General features: G+C 41.0%; 1 long non-coding RNA gene across 4 annotated transcripts in view, besides 3 other annotated features; it reads left to right on the plus strand.

Moving 5' to 3' along the window:
* Positions 1-1535: 1535 nt before the first annotated feature.
* The window catches only part of LOC105370615 (uncharacterized), a 41084-nt gene continuing 19867 nt past the window's right edge, over positions 1536-22752 (plus strand). Inside the window, exons 1-3 of one of the 4 annotated variants that reach the window (XR_944126.3) lie at positions 1536-8676; positions 8853-8951; positions 9790-10367. This is a non-coding gene — a long non-coding RNA (uncharacterized LOC105370615). Of the gene's footprint in view, positions 8952-9789; positions 10368-22752 lie in introns of those variants that run through there. The other 3 variants (XR_944127.3, XR_944128.3, XR_007064298.1) reach the window with 3 other exon arrangements.
* Positions 7591-7650: a silencer, noted in NCBI's record as "silent region_5997". NCBI's record gives its function as "represses an Ori minimal core promoter by ATAC-STARR-seq in GM12878 lymphoblastoid cells {active_cell/tissue: GM12878}" and the evidence as "EXISTENCE:reporter gene assay evidence [ECO:0000049][PMID:35858748]".
* Positions 7951-8070: an enhancer, noted in NCBI's record as "active region_8845". NCBI's record gives its function as "activates an Ori minimal core promoter by ATAC-STARR-seq in GM12878 lymphoblastoid cells {active_cell/tissue: GM12878}" and the evidence as "EXISTENCE:reporter gene assay evidence [ECO:0000049][PMID:35858748]".
* Positions 8122-8678: an enhancer, noted in NCBI's record as "H3K27ac-H3K4me1 hESC enhancer chr14:89507294-89507850 (GRCh37/hg19 assembly coordinates)". NCBI's record gives its function as "activates a minimal SCP1, AML or CMV promoter by ChIP-STARR-seq in naive H9 embryonic stem cells {active_cell/tissue: H9 hESC(naive)}" and the evidence as "EXISTENCE:reporter gene assay evidence [ECO:0000049][PMID:30033119]".

Raw genomic sequence — 22752 nt, forward strand, 5'->3', positions numbered from 1 at the left:
TGCACTCCACCCTGGGAAGATAAAAACCAACACACACAAAAATTAACGCAAAAGGAAGGTTTAAGGATGGGAAAGATGTGATGCCTACTTCAGCCTATCAAGGTGCCCAATAAATGCTTAAATTGAGTCAAATCATCCTTGGATACACAAAACCACATTGTCAATTTCCTGTATGACAATGTCATCATCTCTGTTTGAGTGAAGGCTTCACAGAGGTGAATCTGTCCATTATCCTGTATCTCTGCACTGGCCAATAGAGAGGCTTCTAGTTACATCTCTGTTGAGCGTTTGAAATGTGGCAAGACCAAGGAACTGAATTTTTAACTGAATTGCACTTACTGCTGTAAGTGCAAAGTAGATATCAGATGTCAAAGACTCATGAGAAAAAAAGAATGTAAAGTATCCGATTAGTATTTTTCTCTTGAGTATATTTTTAAGTGATGTTATATTTCTACTGAGCAGTTCAGCTCTAGAAAGCCCAGGGCAGGATTTGGGTAAGATCAGCTGCTTTCAGATTTTCATTTACAAAGCTTCGAATTATAACATTTGATCAAACCCGACTTTGGAAAAGTTATCATAAAGATGGCATTTGAAGTTTGGGGCATTTAATTTTTGGTTCTCTTTATTCTCCTTTCTGCTTTTCTCCCAAAGCTATGACTACAAAGAAAACTAAAAGCATCTCATTTATTCCACAAACTGATCTCCACGTCTTAACTAAATAGCAATTGCTGGGCTGTATTTTATACACACACACACACACACACACACACACACACACACACACGTTCCTACAGGGACCAACATTTTCCCATGTGTAAAGTGACATGCCTGATTGCTAGATTAAGCAACGGAAATTAATTATTACAGTAATTACTCGGCCACTAAATATTTGAATGCTAGACTTGACATAGCCGTCTCGGGAGCCACCTTCAGCTTCCTGAATGTGTTAGTATTGACAAGGCAGCTCATGCGAATGTATTTTTAAAACGCCTTCTTTTGCTGCGTCTTGCCACTGTGAGCCAGGTGTGTTTGTTTTGGTCAGTGGGTAGGACTGTACACCCTACGTCACAGGAAAATAGACGGCTGGCTTCTGGCACCCATCTCTCCAGGCCTGAAATCAAATGCCTGAAAATTGGAATCTGTCGTCTTCAGGGAGGCCACACAGTAGGGTGTTGACACATGTAGTGTGCAAACACTTGCTGGGCAATTTCAGAAACCAAAAAGTGACTGCTAGAATGGGCTCATATCCAAGCCACCCTCCCTGAGGGAAGGAATCTGTATCATCTGGAAATTCTAAAGCTAAGGAAGCCACACCAAGGTGTTTATGGGCAGTCCCATCCATTCCTTCTAAGCCATTGCTTTTTGTTTTCTCTTTTCATCATATCCTGGGTACACAGGCTTCCCCAGGGGACATTGCGTGCCTTCTTCTCTAAGGCAAGGTGGGGAAGAGATTTATTTTAGTCACGTATCCAGGTCAAGACCAAAGATTTTCAAAAAGCAGCTCTACACATTGGGCCTTGTCTAGCAAGAAAACAAGAAGTCCTTACCGCTTGTCACTCACCTCTGCATTTCTTTCTGTTCTGGGACTCTACCTTCATTCAGGAGCTATGTGATGGTGAACGTAGCTGAAGCTGGCTCAGATGGTTCAAGGAGCGGATTTACAGGATAAAAAACATTTCTGCCACTTTTTGCATCTTGGGGTAGGGTTTGAGTTTGATGGCACGGGGGCATCTTCACAACTTTTTGCACTTTTTTTCCATAAGTCCCCAGTTCCACCACCATTTTAGGACATCTGGGGTTGTCAGGTAATTCTCTCTGACACATTCCCATTGTTCCTGCTTTAAAACTGTCAGGTCAACTCAGAAAATTATCAAGCCACATGTCGGAGAGTATTAAAGGCAGTGGCTTCACTAAAAGCCAAAAGAGAAGCTCCAATGTACCCAGACGTCTGGCCTAACTCGAGTTTTCATTCTGTAGCTCAAGGCCAGAACTACTTTGACCTTCTCCAAAACAATGCATCTTCCAAGCAAAGACACAAGCCTAAATATTATAAATTTATCCCAAACAACTCCCATTCCTCTTGAAAAGCATCACTGTCTATTAATAAAGAGAAATTAATAATTATAACAATAACATTTGATATTTTATTTTCAGTATATTATTAAGCATTTTAGAATATTATTTTATTCCATCCTTATGTATTAATTCAAATATATTTATATGGTCTTGACCAGTCCCTCCCTCGTGGAGCTCTCATTCCATCCTATAACAATGGAAATCTTCAAGGCAGATGTGCCCAAGCCACATCCCCTCCACCTTCCTCTGACCTCAGCTGTTGCCAGGATGGACACCTCCCCATCTCCAGTGCCCTTGAATTTCAGGACGGAGGAAGGGGCTTCATCCCCAAAGTAGGTGCAGCCTGGAGGAGCAAGGAGTTTGCATCAAAGGATGGGGATGGGCAGTGGGAGAGAATGTCAAGCCTTTCACCCTTCAGATGGACAATTCCCAGGCACGTTCCTCGCAATTTCTCCAAGGCCCCCCGACAGGACAGGCTCACTTGGCTGGCAGGGCTTCATAGCCCCTGCTCTGTGGGCCTCTCCTCCTTGTCTGTTTCACTCTCACCACCGCTTCCCTCCTGCTCCCTGGATCACCTCCCGAATAAACTGCCTGCACTCACATCCTTCTCAGGCTTTTCTCTAGAGGGACTCAACCTCCCATTTTACAGATGCAGACTTTGTGGCAAAATGCCTTGAAATCGTAAGCAGCAGATCCAGGACTCACACCAGGTGTGTGTGACCCCAGAGTCCAAGGACCCAGCACTGATGTGATGCTGTCTCCTGCTGTCAAATGTTTTAGGGCTGTCCCAGTGGCACTCAGATTTATACTGATTACCTGAAGTGGTACTTTTCAAGACAGCCCCACTCCATCGCCGGGTAGGTCTAACGATTAGAAAGTTCTGATTGGCATTCAGCTCATATCTACATCCATGAAGCTTCATGTATTTTTCCTTCATCAGCAAACACCTATTCATTGTTGTCTAGAAGCTGGACACTGTGCTAGGCATGGGGGCACAGCTCTAATGAGGAAGATATGGTCCCTTTGTTGACAGAGCTGCCCGTCTGGGACTGTTGAGCACCGTGCAGGGTGGGAGCTGCAGGCTGCTGTGGGGACATGGAGTAGGGCACCTCTCTCAGCCACACTGTCCTTCTCAGTAACCTAGAATAGGATTCTCCATGTCCGCATGAGTCCTGCAGGCAGTGGCTGCAGATATCATGTCCCCGTTCTCTGTTCTTCACGTCCATCAGCCAACCTTTGAATGGACCTTGATAGCATAATGGAACCCATATCTCCTGGTGTGATCAAATGAGAAACCAATGCAGAGTGCATTCCCTTACCCAGAGAAGAGATCCAGACCTCGGCAGGGAGTCTGGGAAACCATGGATGAATCCTTGAACCTGTCCTCAAGGTTAGTCTTTGGAAGACCCCACGGGGCTTTTCCCCAATGCTGAGTAATTCAAGCCCTGATCCCTAACCCTCCCACCAAAAATATTGGCAGCACAGGCCTAAGACGCCTGAATAGGTCCTAGGGAGTGAAAACAATATTACGTTCCTTTTTCCCTTGTGTTGCAACTGATACAGAAGGTAGTAATTTACATGACCAATTAGTGGGTAGTAGGCTTTGGAGTCTGCCTTATTTAAAAAAATAGGCTTGTGAAACTGCTAGACTTGTCTGCTTTCTTAAATTTCAGATGGTCCCACAGCAAAGCAACATATTGTTTGGCAATTAGGTTGCTGCGGCAGGCTAGAATGGCTCAAAAGCAGCCACAAAAGCACAGAAATGTGAACTATTTTTAAATGGCTTTCCCAGCAACATGAATGTATGCTCAAAGTTTGACTTCCTTCCCTCTGATCTATTAAGTTCTCATGTGGATTTTTCTTTTTGAAATATTTTTGGAAATGGGATTCTAGACATGTGTCCCTGGAAGTCTTGGAAAGGCAAACCTCAGATTCCCGGGAAATGACACTGTGACCTTCAACTGCCCTTGCTGTATCCATGGTCAACCCCCTCCCCTGCCTGCCCCCACCTTGCCTGATGACACCAACTCAACAGGCATTCTCTCTTCCGCTATGACTGGCAAGGCAGCAGCCAACTCCAATCTCGGAAAGTCCCATTCACCCATCCGTTTATCCATCATCCATCCCTCTCTCCCTTCATTTCGTAATTTATTCAATGAATACTAACCTTCCAATACACACCAGAAACTGTGTTAGGGGCCACACTAAGCCCTTGAGACACTGCAAGAAATAAGAAAGTCCCAGATGTCCTCTCACAAGCCCTTTCATCTAGCAGGGAATGGATGTTATGCAAATATTTTACAAATAATTGGCTACAATTGTAATAGGTGCCCCTAAGGTGAGTATAAGGCACTATGTGCACCTATAACAAAAGGGACCGAAACTAGCCTGAGTTTCCTGAGGTGACACTCAAGCTGAGAGATGGAGAAATAGATGGTGTCAGCAAACTAAAGAGGGAACAGAGAGGGAGGGCAAGAGATTTAGGAATGAAGGGTCTGCGTAAGGGTCCTGGGAAGAAGGAGTATTCACTTTGAGGGGCCGCATAAAGGCCACTGTGGCCAAAGGGTGAGCGCTCAGGAGACAGGGGATGGGGCAGGATGGGCCAGAGAGGGAAGCTGTGGCTCCATCATGCAGGATTTAGGAGAAAAAGGGGAAACCAGGGGAGGGTGATGTGTGTGATGCTGGAGTCACTTGTGTTCAGGAAGGCCACGCTGCTGCCTGCTATTTGGAGAGTGGGCTCCAGACGAGAGGGTGGAGTGATGGGTGGAAGGTGGAGGTAAGAAGCAGGGAGGGATGTTAGGAGGCCAGTGCATTGTCCTGGAGAGGTGACTGTGACTGTGACTGGAATGGGGATAGTGGCAGTGAAGAGAATCAGAATGGTTCAAAATATACTTTGGAAGGGACCCATGAGGACTCCTCGGTGCTCTGTGGCATGCCAGGAGAGCCCCTTGGACATGCTGCACAGCTTCAGAGCTGAGCCAGGCCCTCAGCAGCCTCCTGCTTCTGATCCGTGGCTGCGCGAGGGTCTGCAGGGTCAGAGGGAAAGGATGGCTTCACTTCCGCCCACCTCTCCTGCTTCTGTTTCTGGAGGGATTGTGTTGTGCTGCTGTTCTCCAACTGCTTCTCGTCGAGTGAGTAACTAAGGAGAGGTGTATTAGAAACTTTTTGTACCCTCCTTTTTTCTCTGAATGGCTGTAGCACTTACCAGCCTCTTGGCCATACCGTCAACATTCAATTTGTACTTGGGGATTGAGCCATCACTCCATATAATCTCAGGAAAGGTGAGAATCAGGTGCATTCTCACCTCTACCTGTTGCTATCCCATATCAGCTGTCAGGTCAGCCAAGAGGCTCTATAAACTAGGAAAGGGGAAGATGGTTTGTTGGTTATTGCAGCACTATTCACAATAGCAAAGACTTGGAACCAACCCAAATATCCATCAATGATAGACTGGTTTAAGAAAATGTGGCACATATACACCATGGAATACTATGCAGCCATAAAAAAGTTCATGTCCTTTGTAGGGACATGGATGAAGCTGGAAACCATCATTCTCAGCAAACTATCGCAAGGACAAAAAACAAAACACCACATGTTCTCACTCATAAGTGGTAATTGAACAATGAGAACACTTGGACACAGGAAGGGGAACATCACACACTGGGGCCTGTTGTGGGGTGGGCGGAAGGGGAGGGATGGCGTTAGGAGATATACCCAATGTAAATGACGAGTTAATGGGTGCAGCACACCAACATGGCACATGTATACATATGTAACAAACCTGCACGTTGTGCACATGTACCCTAGAACTTAAAGTATAATTAAAAAAAAAAAAGGGGGAAGATGGGAAAAGTAAGTTCCCTCAACCCTAATACAGGAAGTTGGAAAAGCCACACTGTCAGTACAGTCCTCAAATACAAGAATTATCAAACAGTAGCATCAAAAGGCACAATGGGGGCTGAGTGCAGTGGTTCTCACCTGTAATCCCAGCACTTTAGGAGGCTCAGGCAGGAGGATCACTTGAGCGCAGGAGTTTGATACCAGCCTGGGCAACATAGTGAGACCTTGTCTCTACAAAACGTAAAAAATTTGCTCAGTATGGTGGCACACACCTGTAGTTCCAGCTATCTGTAGGCTCAGGCAGGAGGATCAATTAAGCCCAGGAGTTCGAGGCCACAGTAAGCTATGATCACACTACTGCACTCCAGCCTCACAGAGTAAGAACTTTTCTCAAACAAACAAGCAACAAAAAAAGAAAGAAAAAGGCACAATGGTGTGGCTTTCTGGCATGTAATACCCTCTTTTATCTTCCTGCCTAGCTGTATGTATGCCACCACCCATCTGTTGTGTGCTCATGGCAGACATTACAAATCAATCAAGATGCTTTGCCTCAAATTGAACTTTCAGGAACACTCTCAATACTATGCTTTGGGCTCTTCAGTTGACTAAGGTTGGTATGGAATGTGAAACTTATTTGCCATCCCTATTCTTGACTGTTTAATCAAGATAATCAACTTGGGAAGATTCCTTTTTTTTTTTTTTTTTTTTTGAGACGGAGTCTCATGCTGTCACCCAACCTGGAGTACAGTGGCATGATCTCGGCTCACTGCAACCTCTGCCTCCTGGGTTCAAGCGATTCTCCTGCCTCAGCCTCCTGAGTAGCTGGGATTACAGGTGTGTGCCACCACACCCAGCTAATTTTTGTATTTTTAGTAGATATGGGGTTTCTCCACATTGGTCAGGCTGGTCTTGAACTTCTGACCTCAGGTGATCTGCCCGCCTTGGCCTCCCAAAGTGCTAGGATTACAGCCATGAGCCACCGCACCCAGCCACTTGGGAAGATTCTTCAAGTGACCATTTGGTCAAGCGCCCAAGCTTTTATGTAGGCAAACCTCCTAGTTATCCTAGGCAGGTGGTGGCCAATTCTTTTAAAGATTTCCATGGCTCTCGATACCCCCATCATACTCCAGCACCCATCCTGCCCTGGCTTATCCTGACAAAAGATTTTTTCCCCCACATTTACCTGAACTCTGTCTTCCTTGCTATTCAGAGAAAATGAAGAAGGAAAGAGAAAGAACTACAGAATTACCAGGATACAAGGAATTTGCTGTTAAGATCTTCTTAACCTTCCAGTTGCTTGGGAATCATTGCCGTAGGGTGTCTCTGTACTCAACAGAAGGGTGAAGACGTTTTAGCAACAGTAGCAAAGCAAATGATCTTGGACTTACAGTTTCTTGATTTCCGATGATTAAGCTTCTGCACATACCAACCCCAAGACAGGGTCATTCTATAACTTCTTAATAAGGTTAAGGTATTTCGACTACTTGGTCTTCAGTTTCCCTCAGTAATAGAGACACCAAGATCCTATTGCTCTCCAGCAACCAGGCAGGAGAGATTTGAGTCAGAGGAAAGCACGAGAGAGAAGTTAAGAACAGCAATTTCTTAAGTCATAAACGGAGTCAGGACTGTAAGTGTGATTTTCTGTTACCTGCCCCAGACCTCATGGAATTAAACTTTCCTGCCCTGATCCCTTGGATTCGTTTCTCCAACCCCACTCACCTAGCCCGGCCTCCCCGAAACACAAATTGGAATGGCGTTGGCTCCCGGGCACACTAGGGGGCGCCAGCGGGCTTGTTTTCCAGGATGGCCCTAAAATTCTCTCCAGCGAGGAGAGGACCATGACGGCCAGGCCACGCTTGCTCTGAAAAGCGCCGAGCGTGGAAGGGTGTCTTGGAATGGGGTCTAAAAGGGAGAACGACATCCTTATGACTTGCTTTAGGCTGCTTTCTGGATGTATTTTCAGAGCTGGGGATGAGGAGAGGTTGCGTAAAGGTGCCGGCCTGCTGCTGGCCGGGGCTGGCAGCCTTTCAGCCGCCGCGGGTGAGTCAACACCTGGGAATTGCATCCAAGGGCGGCCCTTTCAAGCTGCCTGGAACTTTCTGCCATCACACTGAGGCCACTGTTTGACCCAGTCCCGGGCCAGGGAGGCAGGAGCCGATCACGTCCCAGGGCAGTGCTTCTCCCTGGCACTGAGTCCGTGGAAAGAGGCTGGGAAGGTTCTTTCCACACTTGAGGGCTGGCGTTGGGAAAATAGGGTAGTGCTCTCCGCCCCAGTGAACAGCAAGAGCTCACTTCCCCCAGCAGACTTCTGCTCCACTGGCCTACTTTCAGCATGGAGTGGAAGGAAGCCAGCTCCAGGAGGGCAGAGGCTTCCTCTCCACCCCTCTCTTCCACAACCTTCAACAGGCGCCTTGTTCTCCCCGGCCAGGGAACTGCGGATGGTGACCATCGTTTCCCAGCCCAGCAAGGGGAAATGAGGGGAGGAAATAAACGCAGGGTTTTTATTGCCAAATATTTCTTTCCCTGGGAGGACAACGCATTCAAACCGCTGAGTGGAGATTGGAGTTAGTCCAGCCATAAACCATCTTAATGAACACTAATAGAGAACCGCAATTATTGTTGACTTCAAAATGCAAACAAGAACTTTAGACAGTGATCCCTATCAGCCGGTGAGGCCGGGCACAGATGCCGGGCGCTGTTTTTGCCGTTGCTTAGCAATGGAAAATGAACTGTTCCTGTCTGTTACCACTGGAGGTGGAGGTAGGACAATGAGCTTTATTGGACAGAATAGGTATGAAATTAGTTTATTCTTTTTCACTTGGAGAAGGCAATTGGCAGCCAAGAGAGTCACTCGGAAAAGGGGTATTTTAGAGGTTGAGGGTGACTTTCCTTCTCATTACTTCGGTAAATCCTAACCACCTTGTTTTCCTCTACAGATAAAGTTTGAACTTTTGCCGGGAGTGTCCCTCCAAAACGATCATCAATCAGACAGAATAGCTGCAAATACCAACTCACAGACCAGGTTGGGAATTAGGGTGAGGAGAATGAAATCTTGGGTGCAAAATTTAAGGGAATGCCAAAAAACTTAGTAGCCAGGATAAATAATAGTTTAATGCAATATTTTTTAAAAGTCAAAATAAATGTAAAATAACCATGGTAAAAAAAAAAATCAGATTTGAAATAAAGAGAAGCTCAATATCACTGATTTTTATTTTTCCTTTGGCTTCAGGCTTTAATATGGCACAGTGCGTCAGTGCCACAGACTTTTTACCGCACCAAACACATTTGCAACACGGACAGTTTTGGGAGCTGCTTTTTCCTCAGCAGTGTTGATGCTATGGAGTACAGAGCCCTGTAGCTGGGCAGAAGGGAGTGTCTCTTTCTGCAGTTCTTTAGTAGGCTTCTTCCAGGATAGTAGAGAGGCAAATGGTCTTGGGGAGGAACCTACCTATGCTTCCAGGGCAGTGACACAGGAAGTACTAAGGTACAGGAAGTACTAAAAACCCAGGGCTCAGCAAACACAGACAGTCAGGTGAAATTGCCCAAAACACTGTTCCTCAGACAACAGGGACAGGCCCAGAGCTGGCAGTTTATGGTAAAATTATCTCCTCTTTTGTTATTGGTATTAATAGTAACTCCTATATATTGAGAACCCTTAGGTGGAATCACATGGAATCGCCAATATTGAACCTTTTTTGACCTACAAACCCAATGTATATGGTTTAATCCAATGTATGCTGAGTATGGGAGGCTGAATAATGAACCCCAAAGATGTCCACATCCTAATCCCTGGAACCTGTGAATATTACCCTATATGGCAAAAAGGATTTTGCAGATGTGATTGAATTAAGGATTCTTTTTTTCTTATTTTAGTGATAGGGTCTTGCTATGTTGCCTCGGCTGGAATGCAGTGGCTGTTCATAGACATTATCACAGCACACTACAGTCTCAAACTCCTGGACTCAAGCAATCCTCCTGCCTCAGCCTCCTGAGTAGCTAGGACTACTGGGATGCACTACTGCTCTTGGCAAATTAAGGATTTTGAGATGGAGAGACTATCCTGGATTATCTGATGGGCTTAATCATTGACAAAGGTTCTTATATAAGGAAAAGTCAATGTGATAATGGAAGCAGATTTGAAGATGCTGTGCAACTGGCTTTGAAGATGGAGGACGGGGCCACAAGCCAAGGATTGTTGGCAGCCTCTAAGCTGGAAGAGGTAAGAAGCATATTCTCCTGTGGCACCTCCGGGAGAAATGCAGTACTGCCTATACCTTGACTTTAGCCAAGTGAAACTAATTTTAGACTTCTCACCTCCAGAACTGTAAGATAATAAATTTGTGTTGATTTAAGACACTATGTTTGTGGTAATTGGTTACAGCAATAGGAAACTAATAGACCAGGCATTATGTTAAGTGCTTTATATCATTAAAGAAATGTATACAAATCCACCCTCAGCCTTCTCGATGACTTTCTGTGTTTGGGTTATTTCCTCTCTTTTGCATCCTCAATTTCCCTTTTCTTAGTGGGTCTTTTCCATTGGCATATACACATGCTTTCCTGTTTATCGCCTTCAAGAACAAAATCAAAAAAAAGACCTAATAACATCCACTCACGATTTTTTAAAAAATTAGTGAACTAGAAATAGAAATTTCTTCAACCTAATGCAGAATTTCTACCAAACATCCGTAACAAACATCATACTTAAAGGTTAACAGTTTTTTTTTAATCCCCACTTCTATTCAATACTGTACTGAGGGTACTAGCCAGAACAATAAACCAAGAAAAAGAAACAAAAGATATAACACTTGGAATCAAAGAAGAAAAACAGATATTCACTGAAGGTGCTAAATGACGAGTGAAGCACACCAACATAGCACATGTATACATATGTAACAAACCTGCACGTTGTGCACATGTACCCTAAAACTTAAAGTATAATAATAATTTAAAAATAAAAAAAGATTATTTTCATAAAAAAACTCAAGGAATCTACAGCTAAATTATTAGCATTAATAAGTGAGTTTAGTAAGTTTAAGGGATAAAAGATCAATATTCAAAAGCAGTTGATTTTCTATACACCAGCAACAAAGAGATAAGAAATATAATTTAAAAAACAGTTTCCAGTTGCAACAGCAGCAAATAAGTAGGGGAAAAGTGGGCAGAGAGAAAGAGAGAGGCAGAGAGAAAGAGCGAGACAGAGAGAGAACAAACCTAGGAGTAGATCTGTCAAAAGATGTGTGGCTGGGCACGGTGGCTCATGCCTGTAATCCCAGCACTTTGGGAGGCCAAGGCAGGTGGATCACGAGGTTAGGAGTTCAAGACCAGCCTGGCCAACACAGTGAAACCCCGTCTCTACTAAAAATACCAAAAAAAAAAAAAAAAAAAAAAAAAAATTAGCCAGGCGTGGTGGCACACACCTGTAATCCCAGCTACTCAGGAGGCTGAGGCAGGAGAATTGCTTAAACTGGGGAGGTGAAGGTTGCAGTGAGCCAAGATCACACCACTGCACTCCAGCCTGGGTGACAGAGCAAGATTCCATCTCGGGGTGGTGGTGGGGGGAAAGAGGTACAAGTCTTTCATGGAAAAAAATACATAAAATTTCATCAAAAGGTATAAATAAATGGTTTATAAATTCAGTTCAGTTCAATCAACATTCAAATAGGCTTTTCTTCATGGAATTTGACAAGCTTTTTAAAAAATTAGCATAAAAAAGCAAAGGACGAAGAAGAGCCAACAAAGAAAGTAGGGAGTCTTGTCTATTAGATGTCAGACTTACTTCACAGTCAATAGTAATTAAGACAATGTGGTATTTACATAGATCAAAATCTAAATCAGAATGGAATAAAGAGCCCAGAAACACATATAGAAGTGTGATGTAAGCCAGCACTAATATTGCAGATCCAAAGGGGAAAGGATAAATTAGTCAAAAAGAGGGGGAAAAATAAATATATACACTATAAAGAAACAAATTCTTATTGATAAAATAAAAAAAGAGAAAGATGAACAGTTTAAAAATTTAGAATATATTATATAAAGGATTTTAACCTGGGTTCCACAGACATCCACTGGTTTGTTGAGCATAATTCAGTACATTCATGATCATGGATAGGAAAAAAATTAATGTTTATTTTCACAAATCCCAAACTGAAAAATTAAAGATTCAATTATGATCATGGACAACAGACCATAGTAGCCTTGCAGTATCTGTGACTTTGCCACTAATAAAAATACAGATAGGTTTATGTCGTATTATAGTTATTGCAGGTATCTCATAATATTATTTATGCACTCAGTACTTGGAAATTTACAGCAGTTATTAGATATTCTGCTAAATCTTGATATTTAATGCATTAAGAAGGAGCACATGTGTTATATATCATCACTTTAAATATTTTAATAACTATATTTCAGCATAATTGGTTTTCTTTGTAATTCTATGAGTTTCATTTTTTACCTTTACCAACATGACAAAGGGTCCACGGCATTAAAATGGTTTAAAAATCATATTACAGAAAAAATTGTATTATAGAAGAATATTCATATGACCTCAGCATATACAGAAAGATTTCCTAAACAAGGCAAAAGAGGAAGCCATAAATGAATAGAGTGATAAATTTGATTACATTAAAATTATAAACTTTTTCTATCAAAATATATAATACTATAAAGAAACTAAAAGATATGTCACAAACAGAGAGAAGAGATCTGCTTCATCTACTTAACAAAGGATTAGTATCTGGAATATCTGAAGTCTACAAATCAATAAAGAAAAGACAGACAATTCAATCTTTTAAAGGACAACATTGTATGGTCTTCTGGGAAAGACCATACAATGACCAATAAACATTTGAAAAAATGGTCAACCTCAGTACATTGAGAAAAGGTAGTTTAAGACAAGGAGCTACTTACTATTTAATAACCACATTGTCCCAGGTGAATATTTTTAAAGTATCTGGCAATACCAAGTGTTGGCAAAGATAGAGAGCCAGGGGGACTTTTACATGCTGCTAATGGGAATATAAATTGTTGTTTTGGGAAAACCGTTTGGCTTTTTTTGTTTGTTTGTTTGTTTTTTTTGAGACAGAGTCTCGCTCTATTCCCCAGGCCAAAGTACAGTGGTGTGATCTTGGCTCACTGCATCCTCCACCTCCCGGGTTCAAGCGATTCTCATGCCTCAGCCTCCTGAGGAGCTGGGATTACAAGCGCGTGCCACCACGCCCAGCTAATTTTTGTATTTTTAGTTGAGATGGGGTTTTGCCATGTTGGCCAGGCTGGTCTTGAACTCCTGACCTCAGGTGATCCATCCGCCTAGGCCTTCCAAATTGCTGGGATTACAGGTGTGAGCCACCGCGCCCAGCCGTGGCATTATTTTTAAGGTGGAAGATGCACATACCCTAAACCCAGTAAAACCCTTGCATATGTGCACTAGGAGTCACATTCAACCCAACTTGCCAAGAATGGAAGAATGGATGCATAAATTGTGGTGTAGTCACAAAGTGTAATATAATGCTATTGTGAAAATAAAGTAACCACAGCCACATCCATTCACATGTATGAATCTCAACCCTGATGTTGAGTGAAGAAAGCAAATTTCAAAAAAAAAAAAAAAAGCAAACAATGTGATTCAATTTATACAAAGTTGAAGAAATAAGCCAAAAAGAATTGTTTTCCAGTGTTGAATGTAGAACACTTGAACTTTCCACTCCATCCAAACAAGCAAAAAGCTAAAGAAACTAGAAAATCAAGAACTCTTAGATCTGTAGCAGAAATGAGAGCTCAGGGCACACTGCTGTCCCCAGAACTGGAGAGACAGACAGGTGGATACAGACAATCACAACATACTACAGCAAAAACCTCCATGGGAACCAGTGCTGGGGACATTGTATCTCGCTATCATGAAAAAATTCCAAAGCATGCTAAAAGATAAAAACACAGTTTGAAGAGACAGAGTAAGTCAGAACCAGACATAATACAGATATTGGAACTATCAGGCAGAGAATTTAAAATAATTATGATGAATATGCCAATGGTTCTAATGCAAAAGTAGACAGTATGCAAAAACAGATGGACAGTGTAAGCAGAGAGATGAGAAGCCTAAGAAATAATAAAAAAGCAATGTTAGAGATCTAAAACACTATAGCAAATGAAGAATGCTTTTGATGGGCTTATTAGTAAACCGGACATGGCGGAAGAAAGAATTTCCGAGCTTGAGAATGTATCAGTAGAAATCTCCGGCCAGGCGCGGTGGCTCACGCCTGTAATCCCAGCACTTTGAGGCCGAGGTGGGCGGATCACAAGGTCAAGAGATCGAGACCATCCTGGCAACATGGTGAAACCCCGTCTCTACTAAAAATACAAAAATATTAGCTGGGTGTGGTGGCACGTGCTTGTAGTCCCAGCTACTCAGGAGGCTGAGGCAGGAGAATCGCTTGAACCAGAAAGGTGGAGGTTGCAGTGAACTGAGATCGCACCACTGCACTCTAGCCTGGCGACAGAGCGAGACTACACCTCAAAAAAAAAAAAAAAAAAAAAAGAAAAGAAAGAGAGAAAAAAAAAAAAGAAACCTCCAGGACTGAAAAGCAAAGAGAACAGACCAAAACAAACAAAAAGACAACAATAACAACAGAAAGCAAAGAAAATCTTAGACTATTCAAAAACTGTGGGAAAACTACAAAAGGTCTAACATACAAAATGGTTACCACAGATTCAGGAAGCTGAGAGAACACAATGCAGGATAAACGCCCAAACAAAACAAAACTCTAAACCTAGGTACATAATTTTCCAACTACAGAAAATTAAAGATAAAGAAAAAACCTGAAAGAAGACAGAGGGGAAAACATTTTACATGCAGAAAGAGCAAAGGTAAGAATTACATTCTACCTCCTCAGCAACTATGCAAGCAAGAAGAAAGTGAAGTGACATATTAAGTGTTGAAAGAAAAAGTCCCACCAACCCAGAATTCTGTAACCTTGACATTAACTTTCAAAAGTAAAGGAGAAATAAAGACTTTCTCAGGCAGACAAAAATTGAGGGAATTTGTTGCTAGTAGATCTGCCTTACAAGAAATGTTAAAAGAAGTTTTACAGAGATAAGGAAAATAATACAGGTCAGAATTCAGAGCCACATAAAGAAAAGAAGAACATCAAAGAAAGAATATGTGAAGGTAAAATAAAAACTTTTATTTTTCTTATTCTTAAATTATCCAACAGATAACAGTTTGTTCAAAATAATAGCAACAATGTATTTGGTTATGTATGCTTATGTTTATATCTTATGTTATATGAGTGTTTATGTATATTTATATGTAAGTAAAATGAATGACAATGATATAAGGAGTGGAAAGGTGGAATTAGGATTTTTTTTAAGTTTTTTTTTTTTTTTTAGGGTCAGGGTCTTGCTCTGTTGCTCAGGCTGGAGTGCAATGTTGTAATTATAGCTCACTGCAGCCTCAAACTCCTGGACTCAAGCTATGCTCTTGCCTCAGCCTTCTGAGTAGCTAGGACTACAGGTGCATATCACCATGCCCAGCTAATTTTTTTTTCCATAGAGACAGGGTCTCACTGTGTTGTCCAGGCTGGTCTCAAACTCTTGGCCTCAAGTGAGCCTCATGCCACAGCCTCTGAAAGTATTGGCATTATAAGTGTGAGCCACTGTGCCTGGCCTATTTTGTTATTTTAAGGTAATCACACAACCAGTGGAAATGGCAATAGTGTTATTATTCTACTTATTTTTCTTTTACTTTTTATAATGATTGCCCTAGAGTTTGCAGTATATATTTACAACAAATCCAGGCCCACTTTCAAACAACACTATATCAATGTATAGTGACTTAATATATCACTACACTTTCCTCTTCTATATAACATGTTATATTTTATACATATATTAAATATAATGGTATAGTATTATTTGAAAGTAGGCTTGTATCTGTTGTAAATGTATGCTGCAAACTCTAGGGCAATCACTATAAAAAAGTAAAAGAAAATTAGGTAGAATTCATATGCTAAGAATGGAGAAAAAAATGGAATGATAGAAGATGCTCAGTTAAACCACAAAAGGCAGACAAAGAGTGGAAGGCAAAAATAAAATAATGTACAAGAACAACAAATAAAAACCAGTAACAAATACGGTAGATATTAATCTGGCTATATCAATAATCACTTCAAATGTCAATGGTGTAACTGATGCAATTAAAAGACAAAGATTGTCAGAGTGGATCAAAAAACATAACCCCACTTTGAGAGTCCAAGGAGGGAGGATAGCTTGAGTCCAGGAGTTCAAGACCAGCCTAGGCAACATGGCGAGACTCTATTTCTATGAAAAATACAAAAAGGTAGCTTAGCTTAGTGGCTGAGATGGAGGGTCACCTGAGCCCGGGAGTTCAAGACTGCATTGAGCCATGATCACATCACTGCACTCTAGCCTGGATAACAGAGTGAGACCCTGTCTCAAAAACAAACAAACATAAAAGACCCAACTATGTGTTATCTACAGAAAGCCCATAAAGACACATAGAGATTAAAAGTAAATGGATCGAGGAAGATATAACATGGTAACACTCATCAAAAGAAAGCAGAGGTAGCTCCATTAATTTCAGACAGAGCAGACTTCAAAGCAAGGAAAGTTGTCAGGGACAGAGAAGGGCATTAGTAATGATAAAGGGGTCAATTCTCCAAGAAGACATACCATTCCTTAATGTGTGTATGTCTAACAATAGAACATTAAAATACATGAGGCAAAAACTGATAGAACTACAGGAATCATTGAAAATAGATGAATCCACTAGTATAGTTCCAGACTTCACCCCTCTATCAGAAATGCACAGATCCAGTAGGCAGAAAATCAGTAAGGACATAATTGAACTCAACAACACCATCAATCAACTAGGTATGATGAACATCTATAGACTGCTTCATCTGACAACAGCACATTCATCTCAAAATCACATTCATCTCAAGATCATATGGAACATTCACCAAGATAGGTCATATTCAGGGCCATAAAACACACTTTAACAATTTTTTTTAAAAAAAATAGAAATCAAACAATGTCTGCTCTCAGGTCACAATGGACTTAAACTAGAAATCAATAAGAGAGATAACTGGAAAATCCTAAAAGACATGGAGATTAAATATAACACTACTAAATAACAGAGGGGTCAAAAAAGTCATCTCAACAAAAATTAAAATATTTTTAATTAAATAAAAATGAAAATACAATTTGCTGAAATTTGTGGGATGCAGCAAAAGCAGTTCTTGGAGGAAAATTTCTAGCATTGAAGGAACATATTAGAAAAGAAGAAAGACTGGCCAGGCGCGGTGGCTCACGCTTATAATCCCAGCACTTTGGGGGGCCAAGGCAGGTAGGTTGCCTGAGGTCAGGAGTTCGAGACCAGCCTGGCCAACATAGTGAACCCTCATCTCTACTAAAAATACAAAAATTAGCCAGGCGTGGTGGTGGGCACCTGTAATCCCAGCTACTCGGGAGGCTGAGGCAGGAGAATCACTTGAACCTGGGAGGCGGAGGTTGCAGTGAGCTGAGATCACACCATTGCACTTCAGCCTGGGCAACAGAGCAAGACTCCATCTCAAAAAAAAAATAAACAAAAAGAAGAAGAAGAAAAAAGATCTAAAATAAATACTTTAAGCTTCTACCTCAGGATGCTAGAAAAAGAAAAGAAAATTAAATATGAAGCAAGCAGGAGAAAAGAAATATAATAATAATTAGAGCAAAAATCAGAAAGTCAGTGGAGAAAATCAATGACTCCAAAAGCTGGTTCTTAGAAAAGATTAATAAAATCAATAAGCCACTAGCCAGGCTAACCAAGAAAAAAGAGAGAAGACACAATTTACTAATATCAGAAACAAAAGAGGGGACATAGCTACAAATTCCATGGACATCAAATGGATAATAAGGCAATAATATGATAAATTCTATGTCCATAAATTTGATTATCTAAATGAAATAGACAAATTCCTTGAATCTGCCCAAACTCACACAAGAAGAAATAGGCAATGTAACTAGGCCTATATCTATTAAAGAAATGGAATCAATAATTAATAAGCTTCCAAAACAGAAAGCACTGGGCCCAGATGGATTCAGTGGTGAATTCTACAAAATATTTAAGGAAGAAATTAAACCAATTCTTTACAATTTCTTTCAGAAGGAAGAAGCAGAGGGAATACTTCCTAACTCATTCTATGAGACCAGCATCACCTTAATACCAAGGCAGGATAAAGACATTACAATAAAACTACAAACCAATATCTCTCATCAACATAAATGCAAAAATCCTCAACAAAATATTAGCAAGTCAAATCCAGAAATGTATAAAAAAGAATTATATACCACAACCAAGTGGGATGTATTCCAGGTCTGCAAGGCTGATTCAACATTTAAAAATTAATTTAATCCATCACATCAACAGGCTAAAGAAGAAAAATCGCATGATTGTATAGACACAGAAAAAGCATATGGCAAAATCCAATGTCTATTCATGATAAATAAAAAAGCAACTCTCAGTAAACTAGGAATAGAGGAGAACTTTCTCGACTTGAAAAGAATATCTACAAAACACCTACATGACATCATACTTCATGGTGAAAAAATGGAAAGTTTCCCACTAAAATCAGGAACAAGGCAAGAGTGCCCCCTCTCACCACTCCTTTTCAACATCATACTAGAAATTCTACATAATGCAATAAGACTAGAAAAGTAAATAAAAGGTTTACTGGTTGGAAAGGAAGAAATAAATATCTCTTTGTTTGCAGATGACTTGATTGTCTATGTAAAACAATTAAAAGAATCAACAATAACAACAACAACAACAAAATCCTGGAACTAATCAGCAATTACAGCAAGGTTGCAGGATACAAGGTTAATATCTAAAAGTCAATCACTTTCCTATATACTAGCAATGAACAAGTAGAACTTAAAATTTAAAACATGATACTTGCTGGGCATGGTGGCTTATGCCTATAATCCCAGTACTTTGGGAGGCTGAGGCAGGAGGATCACTTGAGCCCAGGAGTCAATGTTGCAGTGAGCTGTGATGGCACCACTGCACTGCAGCCTGGGTGACAGAGCAAGAACCTGTCTCAAAAAAAAAAAAAAAAAAGTAAAAACACAGAAAACCATGACACCATTTATATTACCACCACCAAAAGTAAACGACCCAGGTATAAATCTAACACAATATGAACAAGATCTATATGAAGAAAACTAAAAAAAATATGATGAAAGAAATCAAGGAACTAAATAAATGGAAAGATATTCCATGATTATGAATAAGGAGACTCAATAACATCAAGATGTCAGTTCTTCACAACTTAAACTATATATTCAATGCAATCCCAATCAAATTCCAGGCAAGTTATTTTGTAGATATTTACAAACTGATTCTAAAGCTTATGTGGAGAGGTAAAGGACCGAGAATAGACAACACAACATCGAAGGAGAAGAGTAAAGCTGGAAGACTGACATTACCTGACCTCAAGACTTACTATAAAGCTACAGTAGTGGCCGGGCTCGGTGGCTCACACCTGTAATCCCAGCATTTTAGGAGGCCAAGATGTGCAGATTACCTGAAGTCATGAGTTGGAGACCAGCTTGTCAACATGGTGAAACCCTGTCTCTACTAAAAATACAAAAATTAGCCGGGTGCGGTGGCACACACCTGTAATTCCAGCTACTTGGGTAGCTGAGGCATGAGAATCGCTTGAACCCGGGAGATGGAGGTTGCAGTAAGCCAAGATCGTGCCACTGCACTGCACTCTAGCCTGGGGGATAGAGTGAGACTCTGTCTCAAAAAAAAAAAACCAAAAAACAAAAAAAAACACCCTACAGTAGTTAAGACAGTGGTATTGGTAAGAAAATAGATAAATAGATCAGTGAAACAGAATAGATAGCCTAGAAACAAACCCACATAAATACAGTCAACTGACCTTTGACAAAAGAGCAAAGGCAATACAATGGAAAAAAGACAGTCTTTTAAACAAATATTGCTGGAATAATGGAAATCTACATGCAAAAATGAATCTAAACACAGACCTTAATATATTCTTCACAAAAATTAACTGAAAATGGATCACAGACCTAAATATAAAACACAAAACTATAAACTAGAAGATAGCATAGGAGAAAATCTAGATTACTATAGGTTTGAAAATGATTTTTTTTTCAATAGGTTCTCTGTCACCCAGGCTGGAGTGCAGTTGTGTGTAGTGTGATCATAGCTCACTGCAGTGTTGAACTCCTGGGCTAAAGTGATCCTCCTACCTCAGCTTCCCAAATAACTGGGATCACAGGCCTGTGCCACCAAGCCCAGCTAATTTATTTTTACTTTTTAGAGACAGGGTCTCACTATGTTGCCCAGGCTGGTCTCAAACTCTTGGATTCAAGTGATTCTCCCGTCCTCCTAAATGCTGGGATTACAGGCATGAACCACTGTGCCCGGCCTGGCAGTGACTTTTTAGATATGACACCAAAGTTACAATCCATGAAAGAAATAATTGATGAGCTGGACTTTATTAAAATTAAAACTTTCTGCTCTGCAAAAGACACTGTCAAGAGAATAAAAAGACAAGTCACAGACTGTGAGAAAATATTTGCAAAAGACATATCCAATAATGGACTGCTAGCCAAAATTTGCAAAGAACTCTTAAAACTCAACAATAAGAAAACAAACAACCCAATTAAAAAATGGGCCAAGACTTTAACAGACACCTTGCCAAAGAAAATATACAGATGGCAAATAAGCATATAAAAAGTTGCTCCACAGCAGGAAAATGCAAATTAAAACAACAATGAGATATCACTATGTACCTAGCACGACTGAAATCCAGAACACTGACAACACCAAATGCTGGCGAAGACGTGGAGTAATGGGAAATCTCGTTCGTTACTGGTGGGAATGGTATGGCCACTTTGGAAGACAGTTTGGTGGTTATTTACAAAACGAAACATACTCTTACCATATGATCCAACCATCATGCTCCTTAGTATTTATCCAAAGGAGATGAAAACTTATGTGAAAAACCTATGTATAGATGCTCACAGCGGCTTTGTTTATAATTATCTAACCTTGGAAGCAACCAAGATGTCCTTCAGTATGTAAATGGATAAACTGTAGTACATCCAGACAATGGAATATTGTTCAGCGCTAAAAAATAATGATCCATCAAGCCATGAAAAGACAGGGAGGAAACTTCAATATATATTACCAGTGAAAAGAGCCAATCTCAAAAGGCTACATACTGTGTGATTCCAACTATACGACATTCTAGAAAAGGCAATCCTATAGAGACAGAAGATCAGTGGTTGCCAGGCACAGTGGCTCACGCTTGAAATCCCAGCACTTTGTGAACCTGAGGTGGGCAGGCTACTTGAGGTTAGGAGTTTGAGACCAGCCTGGCCAACATAGTGAAATCCCATGTCTACTAAAAATTTAAAAAATTAGCTGGCCATGGTGGTGCGTGCCTGTAGTCCCAGCTACTCAGGAGGCTGAGGCAGGAGAATCTCTTGAACCCAGAAGGTGAAGGTTGCAGTGAGCCAAGATTGCATCACTGCACTCCAGCCTGGGAAACACAGCAAGACTCTGTCAAGAAAGAAAGAAATGAAGGAAGGAAGGAAGGAAGGAAAGAAAGAAAGAAAAGGAAAGAAGGAAAGAGAGAGAAAGAGAGAGAGAGAAAGGAAGGAAGGAGAAAGAAAGGAAGTGTTGATGGTGACTCCTGTTCCAATGTAGGAATAAATAATATTAAAAAAAAAAGAAAGATCAGTGGTTGCCAGAGCCTAGGGTGGAGGGAGGATGATAGGAGGAGCCCAGGGGATTTTTTTTAGGGTAGTGAAACTATAAGATGTAGGATACTGTAATGGCGGATACGTGTCATTGCACGTTTGTCCAAACGCAGAGAGTGTACAACACCAAGAGTGCGCCCTAATGTATTACAAGGAACTTTGGGTGATAACCACGTGCCAGTGTCAATTAGCTAACTGTAACAAATGTACCACTCTGGCGGGGGATGTTGATAATGGGGGAGGAAGCTATGCATGTGTGGGGCAGTGGTATATCAGATGTCTGTGTACCTTCCTCTCAATTTTGCCATGAACCTAAAACTACCCTTTAAAAAAGTCTTAAAAAACAAAAAGCAAAAGTGAACAATATATTATTCTGCTATTCATAGAAATGTATAAAATTATAAATGAAGACAAAAAAATCATAAATCTTCAGGGTGTGACTTCCCCCATGGGATAGAGGCAGGAGGAAAGGTCTTGGCTATCTAGGAGGGCCCTGCAAGGGTGCCCATTAGTGGTGGGAGTCCCTGATTGCTCATCCTATTTCTTTTCTTTTACGTGAGTGAAATAGTACACTACTAAAAACAAAAATTAAAACATGACACACAAAAGCCAGAAAACAGGACTCCTGTTAGCATGAAATAAATCTGAATTAATGGGAAAGCTGGCCCACTCTTAGATGGGAAAAATCAGTATTACAAAGAAGTCATCATTCCTCCATAAACCGGCATATTTCATGGGTTCCTATTAAAAAAGAGCAAAAGCTGGTTTCTTCTCACATTTTAGTTCACAGAGAGGCTTTTCCTGCACTCAACCCAAAGTAGACCCTCCCTCTTCTCATTTTTTCCTTCATTGCACTTATTCTGGTTTGTAATTTACTTGTTTGAATTTGCCCTCTCCACTAGACTGCCTTGTACTTGAGGGTAAGAATATGTGTATTTTGTTCAACCTATGTGGATACAAAGAATACATATAGTTGGTATAATTAATTCCTGGCACATTGTGGCTGTTTGATAGATATTTGTTAAGTAGGCCAGGCGC

This window comes from Homo sapiens, chromosome 14 (genome assembly GCF_000001405.40).
Source record: "Homo sapiens chromosome 14, GRCh38.p14 Primary Assembly".
Taxonomy (NCBI): domain Eukaryota; kingdom Metazoa; phylum Chordata; class Mammalia; order Primates; family Hominidae; genus Homo; species Homo sapiens.